Genomic DNA, 8,655 nt, shown 5'->3' with positions numbered 1-8,655 from the left:
ATTATCTGACATTTTAAAAAGTATATTTCCTAACCTATAAATATACTTTGTAGATTAACAAGAGAAAAATTTCAAGATATTGTAAATTTAAAACAAATCTTTATGTATAATATCACTGTAATGTCTTTGACCAGTATCAATCTATCATGTGAGATAAAAAATATTAAACATTCATTTATTGAATAAACGAATGAAAATCATAATTACCTCGATCACTATATTTAAAATCTAAATGAAGCAGGAAAGTAAATCTTCCTAATTATCATATACTTAGCTGTTTAAAATCACTCTAATGACAAGTAATATGCTTTCAATCTTGAATTATACTTTTAAAATGCCTGTATTGTTTCATTCACTCATGCTTCCATTAGTTCAGTGAACAAATATTGATTACTTACCCACTATGTGCCAGGTATTATGATAGATTCAGGGAGTACAAAAATGATTAAATGAGGGGATCAGTTGGAGTGACTGTTTTCTAGAAACAATGCCTATTTCAGTTATGAACTAGTCTGTTTTGAAGAAAATGGTGAGGGAAAGCTAAAAGTAATATTTTCACTTTATTCAACAAATCTTATTGAGGTCTTATTATGAATCAGGGGCTCTCCTAGGTACGGGCATACAAAATTGATTAAGACCATGCTTGCGTGCAGAAAACAAACAGAAAAGCATCTCTATAATAAAAAGGAAAAAGAGGAATCCCCTTTGTAGGTTTCATAGTTTATACTGATATTTCTGATGTCGTCTCAGAGAATTAGTCACAATTATAGGAACTCAGAAGGCATTCCGTGGAGATGAAATAGAGACTAAACTAGCAGAGATTACTTAGTGAAATATTGTGATACCATTTATTTCAATTAGAAAATAGTTATAATTCATTTTAGAAGATATTATGGCTTACACATAGTAGATGTGATGACTGAATAACAGGATTGTTGAACGATGGCACCTTGGTAGCCATTAGCCATTGCCACCATGATTCTGCATTAAAAAATCTATGCAAAACGCCCGGGCATGGTGGCTCACGCCTGTAATCCCAGCACTTTGGGAGGCCGAGGCGGGCGGATCACGAGGTTGGGAGATTGAGACCATCCTGGCTAACACGGTGAGACCCCGTAACTACTAAAAATACAAAAAATTAGCTGGGCATGCTGGCACGCGCCTGTAGTCCCAGCTACTCGGGAGGCTGAGGCAGGAGAATCGCTTGAACCTGGCAGGCGGAGGTTGCAGTAAGCTGAGATCGCGCCACTGCACTCCGGCCTGGGAGACAGAGTGAGACTCCGTCTCAAAAAAAAAAAAAGAAAAACTTTGGAGTATATTAATAAACATTGTGTTTTTTTAAAAAAAAAATTAAATCTTTAATTTCCGTTTTCACGATTTTTCTTCTTGCTTCCAAAAGGAAAGGAGTGCGTAGCTCTGTTGCCTTTACATCGTCCACGGCCCCTGGGTTGGGGCGGGGTCCCCCGGGCCGCCCGGGGGTCCACATGCAGTCCCTGGGGGGGCCGGCGCGGGGTGAGGTCCGGGGGCCGCCTTATTGCTGAGGTCCGGCCGGTTGGGGCCCTGGCGGCCGCTAGGCGCTCTGGCTGCGCAGCTCCTGGGAGATGAAGCGGCGCAGGCGCTCCAGGTACTGGCTGTAGAGCTGGATGTCTTTGTGCCCGGCGCCCTCCACCCACAGCGGCTCCACGGCGTTGGGGCAGCGCTGGTAGAGCGCCAGCCCGTGCGAGAAGTCCATCACCTCGTATTTCGTGTCCTGGAAGATGAGCACGGGCGGCGTGATCTTGGACACCTTCTGGATTCTGCGGGAGGGGCGTGGGGCGGGTGAGACCTCGCCCGGCCCGGGCCCCGCCCCGCTCCGCCCCCGCCCCCGTCCCCGCCCCAGCCTGCTCACTTGGGGAAGGCGTCGAAGCAGTAGGTCTTGGTGTCCGGAAGGCGACGCTCAGGTCCAAGGTGAGCGGCGAGTGCAGCACCACCGTGGCGGACTCGTAGCGCGAGGCCAGGTCCACGGTGGGCACCGTGCCGATGCTCTGCCGGTACAGGATGATGCCGTCCGGGCTGATGCGGTACCTGGCGGCACCTGAGCAGGGTCAGCCTAGGCCTCCAACGCGCGCGCACCCCTCCTGCCAGCGGGCGTCCCCGGGCCCAGCTCCGGATGCGACTCTCCAGTCTCCCCGCTCAGCCAAGTCAGTTGGTCAGGCCCAGGCTCCACACCAGTCTCAAGGGCCACCCCCAAGCCCCCCAACACCGCAGCGGTGGGCGAAGCCGGCGGCCTGGTCCTGTTCCCTGCCACTATGGTTCACTGGCGTTTCCTAGCCAGGATCTGCTGGATCCTGGCTAGGGAGTCCCCCTCGGGCTAGGGTAGGGGAAGCCCTGGCACCTCTCCTCCTCTTGGTCACCCCTAGGCGCACACTGGGAACTGTGTGGCCTCCCACATCCTGAATGCTTCACGCCTTCCTGCCCAGGTTAGAAAGCTCTTCCTGGTGCACTGGCCGGGACACTCTTCCTCCCTGCAGCCCTTGCCTACCCCCTTGGCCATGAGGAATTCAGGCAGCTGTGTCCCCAGATGTCTCCACCCAATTTTGGACTCTCAGAGTCCCATGCCCAATGAGCTGCCAGCCCAACCCAGGTCAACATCGAGGGTGGTGGCTGCGGGGGCAGCATCTCCTCCCACCAGTGCCTTCCCTTGGGAGTGGACAAGTCCTCCGCCACCTCAGCACCACCAGCTCCCACCCAGGGCCACCCCCACTCCCAGGTCACTGGTGTGCGGCCCCTGGCCCAGCTGATCCAGCACCAGTCCCAAGGCCTCCTCATGCCCAGTCCCAACCACGCGGGACCCACCTGCCACCCTGTCGATGCCGAGACCCCAGAACTCTCCTCCCACAAGCTCCAGGCTCTGATGCCAGGCAGATGCCCTCCTGCGAGACAGGAGCATGGGCAGGTGTGCGTCCCGTCTGGCTGGCATTCGGACTCCACCAGCAGGGCTGTCTCCCTCCCTGGCCTGGAATCCCAGCCTCCTGGCAGCACTCCACAGCTCACTGCTCACCCATGCCCCAAAGGATGCTGCCTGGCTTGTGCCTGTGGCTGCAGCTCTGCCTCAGCCTCCCTGGCCTGCTCCCTGGCAGCCAAGGCCAGTAGTGTGCTGAGCCAGCCCAGCCCTGTCACCTGCTCCAGGCAGGAGCCCCCAGCTGCCACCTAGATGTCACCACTCAGACAATCAAACAAGACACATCCTCCATAGAGGCCCTGAGCGCTATCTGGCCTCCCCCTCACGGCTCTGGGCCGAGGATCCTGCAGGACAAAGCGACAGCAGGACAGACGGCGGAGTAGACAGAGCTCAGAGCTGGCCATGGGGGGTGTGACTCTGCCAGTGCCCCGGGCAGTAGAGACAGGAGGGGGCCCAGGAAGCTGCATGAAGTGGTGCTTGGTTTCGGCGCCCCACACTGCCGGGAGGCCCCCAGAGCCAGGGTGGTGCCAGGGGACCCAGCTCCCACGCCCACAGCAGGGACTGCCTGGGATATCTCCAAGGCAACGAGGACCCCACCTCCCAGGGCCTCTGACTTCTCAGAGCTGCGCCTGGCCCCTGCAGGAGCGGGTCAGACCACTGGGCTGGGCAGGGCAGGGCCAGGACGAGACAGCCCCAGCGGGTGGCGAGCAGGAAAGGCCCCCAGAGGCCCACGCGGGTCTTCTAGTCCAGAGCAGCACTGGCCCGGGTGGTGCTCAAACACCAGTGAAGGGCCCAGGCAAGCGCAGGGCTGGGGACCTGGATGATTAGGAGGGCTGGATCTGGAATCGAAGCTGGCCGAGACCTCAGGTGTGTGCTGGGGGTCTGCACCTGACCCTGCAGGCCCTGCCCCGGGATGGCTGAGCTCCACAGCCACGGGGCCTCATGGGCCAGGCCTTGGGACCTCGATGCAGCAGCCTCGCCTCACCTGGCCCCAAGTGCGGCCTCAGCCCGTGGGCTCCCAGCCACACATGCACAGACCCCCTGACACCACCCACCCCCTCCCGCCAGGTGGTGTCCACGCCCCTGTGACAAGCTCAGCCCCTTCCTGTCCTCAGGCCAGGGGATCCCAGGGAGCCTGGCTCCACAGGCCAGGGTGTGGGGGGACCTCCTGGCCACACCTCAGCCATGTGGAGGCAGCACCCGCATGCCTGAGCTCACCTGTCCGGCTCTCTGGCAGCATGCGTCCACTGTGGCTCCTCTCCTGCAGGGCCGCCCACCTTCCTCCCAGGGAAGCCCGCCCCTCCCCCCGGCCCCTGGCCCCCGGCCTGGTCCCCTCTCGGGTGTGCCCAGGCTGAGCTGCGCCCGGGGTCGCCCTCACCTGGTGCGCAGGGCCTGCCAGGCGGCGTTGATGTCGGCGTAGAGGTTCGTCTCGGAGGGCCTGCCCGAGCTGGCACCGTAGCCAGAGTAGTGGTAGGAGAAAATGTTGCAGTGGAGGCGGGAACACAGGCCAATGTAGAAGCTGCTCATCTGGCCCAGGTCCACCGCGTTGCCTTCCTTGTTCATGCACCTCTGGTCAGACGCAGTTCAGCTGATCTAGGCTGGGCTTGGCTAGCATTGGCTTGAAGCTGCAGCTGGTGTCCAGATCTGTTCTACGTATTTGTGATTCTCCTCAGCCCTCCCGGGTACTTGAAGCATGTTATTGTTATGGCAAAAGTCAGGAGTGCAACCTGCCTGTGCAAAAACATGCCAGGCTTCTGTTGCCTGAAATCCTCTAAGATACCCCTTTGGCTTAAGCAAAATCACACAGCAAGGATCAAAGTCAAGGAGTGGGGAATTATATCTGTCCCTTAGAGATGGAGATAGGAGAGAGTGTGAACAAATGCAGGAAAATGATCTCATCTACCAGAGTGTCCTTAAATATTTTAACATAATAAATTCAGTATTGTTTTTGTTTGATTGAATGAAGCTTTGCATGGACACAGTACAGTACAAAAGTACTATTTGAACTCTTTCTCCACATTCATAAAATTGCTAGTTTCTACCATGATTATATTTTTATGATCCATTTTTGTGTACAGATCTGAAAACTTTATACTAGAATTTATTAGCTGAGGAAAGGAACATCCACTGACATCATCATATACAAATATTTCTCAACATTTTAATGCTTGTGGTATTGTTAATGTTTCTGTGGAAAAAAAATCACAGAAGTGATTTCTAAGTCAGTTATTGATTTATTCTAATGAATTATAAAAATCAGACTAAATTACTAATAGAGAAATTACATTTGAAATACTAGTCTGAGCTACAGATGAGATGGATTTTTGTGCTCATCATTTGTACTCTAGCTATGTTTGTTGAGATTGGGTTATTAAAACATAATTATAACATTATCAGCAGAAAAGCCTGTTGTGCTATAATTAAATCATCTAAACAATCATTTTTGTGGTCTTAATATCCTGGATTTCTCAATTCATTGTAGTAGATAAGATTTCTCTTTAAATACTACTTACTATCAGTAGCTTGCTTTTCTGTGAATGCTAGAAAATTTAGAATTCTGCATTAACATTTAACAAAATATATGCTATCCTAATATTGATTCATTATATTTATCTATACAACATGCAACAAGAGAGAAATACTGGATGAATCAGAATATTTGCAGCCTATGACAATTATCTGTAGCAACATTTTTTTTGTCTTCAGAAAAATATAGATGATTTTGGAAATGGATTAGTTCTAGTTTCAATCTAGGAAGAACTACTTATGGAAGTTTTGTGTACAGGATACTGATGTTTTCAAATATAATGCATTATTATTTTAGTTTAGTTTCTTTTACCACATACTTAGAAATTGTTCAAGTGAACAGGCTATTAAAACTAATGGTATAGATAAATGGTACAGATAGGCCTTGTAAACATCCCACTTTTCCCAAGCCATGAATTTTAACACCTGATTAAGGAGATTAAAATGGAGCCATTGGGAATGTGAATTCTTTGCTAATAATTATTTTTCTTCCTTTAAAAAGATTCTTCAAAAGGCAAGAATATGGAAGTATTTCAGGAGATACTCTTGAGGTATCTAAAATACATACTCTTCCTATCAAAATCAGTAAATAGATTGATGTAAGTAAGATAAAGTCAGGGCAACTGGTTTTGCATGTGAGTGTACACACAGACACATATCCATGTATTCTCCATCTGTTCTCAGTTACTGAATTATTAGACCCAACTGACCACTTGACTGTGTTTAACCTGATAAACAGACTCTTAACAAGAACAATATTTTAAAAGCTGGATTGTTCCTCCTACTTCTCAGCATGCATCAGCCACTCTCTTTCCCCATCCTATCTCCTGCCAAATGGTCTCTAAATATCTGTTCCACTTGGAGACACTATTGGATGTTGTTGTAAATGACTTTAATGAATATTCACTCTACCTGCTCTCATATTAATTCAGTTTTCCTAGGATGGTCTCTATGGGATCAAGCAAAAGGACTTAGTGGAATATCTCTATCTGACTCCATAAAGTAAAGAATGTGGTGAGTTTAACAGAGTGCCCCTTCCTTTACTAAATGTGAATGATGTTTCAGTATAGGAGGCCAGAGTGAAAAGTCCTAACGTATGTTTGTTTGGGCAGCCAACAATTGGTCACATTGTACATTTCATGTTACAAAGGAGCCTCATGGTAGTATAAATGAGGGTCGGGAAAAGACACTTAACTGCTCAGGGCTTTAAAATGGAGCCAGAGCAAGAATTGTAGAAGTTGACAATATCAGGAAGGAAACCTCTGTAAGCAGGCACGCAGGGGAACTCCAGAAATCTCTTCTTTGCCCCTACAACTCTGGACTTTCAGAAATACACACCCCATCCTCCTGTATTAATACAAAATTCATGTTCACAACAACATCAAAAATCAATTTTAAAATAGTAAACCTAAGGTAGACGGAAAGACATTATAGCCTCAGCATGCCTGAGATCTGAGGAGCAAATCAGAAAGATGTTGAGTGTGAAGAGAAAGGGACATCATGATAACCAATCATTTAAAATTTTTACTCCAGAGAAATGGCAATATTTCACAGATTGTTTCTCATCACCAATCTCACAAGTATAAGTATTTTTTGAAAATTTTCCTCTCAATTTTTTTCCTTGACAGTGAAGTCCAGAATAGGTTGGTTTAGATCTTTCTCTTTTCAGCCTCAATACTCCATAATCACCTTGGCTTTTTTGATTATGACTGGATGGCATGTACTATTATTTTAATATTAAAGATTTAGTAAATAATTTTAAATGTTATCCTTAAATAACTGTGGGCTTTATTCATTTACTGTACATATTTTGAAAACATTCATAAGAACTTAAGGATTTTAATTCAAATGGTCTCTAAAGTAGAAAATGCACTCACAGATTATGCGTATGTCTTTTAAGAAACAGAAACGTGCCATTTGTTTTTAAATTGAGTAGACTTTGTATCCTTTAGAATTTGGGCAGAGTTTTCTTGCTATATTGTAGAGAACCTATCAACCATATCTTAATTTTCTTCTTCTTGAGGTTTTCAAAATTAACATTGGCATTGGTCCACTAATTCCTTGTTTTCTATTTTTGGATGAGTGTGCATAATTACCTCCATCTTAATTTTCAACATAAATGTTTAGCAGAATCTTTCATGTTTCATTGCCATGTAAGCAGATGTGGTTTTTATTCTTTTTCCTTTTCATTGAACAGTTACTTCATTTGAAATTTTTCACTTGATTTAACTTTTTTTTTTGGTGGTAGATACATCTGTTGCCACCTGTGTCTGGTTGGCATTTTAATGTGTTGCCTCAAAGCTGTAACCACAATAGTGGCACATTTTCCTGCTGTTCCTTTATTCTTTGTTTCATGTGTATCTGTTTTCAAGAAATTGCATTGGTATACTATCATAGCTTTTTTTGTCTCTCAGATTTTCTATTGTAATTATTTATATTTATGCATTTGGAAATATTTCATGATTGTTACATAAAACAGCAGAGCTCTTTTAGAAAGTTTTCATGGTTTCCCAAATGTACAATCATATAGATTATTTAGTAGTTATTACATAATGATCTTTGGAGCAATAAATGCTGTTATATAAGAACAATTCCCAAATGTAATTTGAAAGTTATAAGCTAGGCTTTGACGGCCTAGAATTAATGTACCTTTATAATTCTAATCTGCATGCAAATTTAAGAAGACCACGGATTGAGGACTGGGTGCATAATTTTCAGGGCCCAGTAAAAAGTGAAAATGTAGAACCCTTTGATAAAAAATTACAAAGAATTTCAAGATGACCATAATAGGCCATGCACAAGGCCTTTCTAAATGGGTAGAGTGATCATGAAGCCATGGGCATTGTTTTGTTTTGTTTAATCTTACTGTTTGGTTGTAAAGCAGATCTTTAAATCAAGAGAAAAAAAGAATGCCAAAGAACATCTCAATCAAAATGTTTTAAACATTATAGAAGATTAGATCCATATAAATGAAAGGGATAAAGAAAAAGCACATATCCAACCTCAAATATAAAGCATGGAATTCTTATGTGAACTCCATTATAGCACTTGATATTTCAGCTCTATTTTCATTTTTGAACAACTCTAGATATATCTATATATTTTAGTCTAAAATTTAATTTTTATAAGTTCTAAGTTCTTCCCCAAATTCTACCTTAGATAAACAATTCAGAGATACCTGTGTTTCC

At 45.8% G+C, this 8,655-nt stretch overlaps 1 pseudogene; it reads right to left on the bottom strand.

Annotated features, from left to right (window-relative positions):
* Positions 1-1,371: 1,371 nt before the first annotated feature.
* Positions 1,372-4,494, bottom strand: ABHD17AP8 (ABHD17A pseudogene 8; annotated as a pseudogene).

Source organism: Homo sapiens, chromosome 16 (assembly GCF_000001405.40).
Source record: "Homo sapiens chromosome 16, GRCh38.p14 Primary Assembly".
Lineage (NCBI taxonomy): Eukaryota > Metazoa > Chordata > Mammalia > Primates > Hominidae > Homo > Homo sapiens.
The sequence above is the reverse complement of the archived record's forward strand: the minus strand, read 5'-3'. Positions and strand labels throughout refer to the sequence as shown.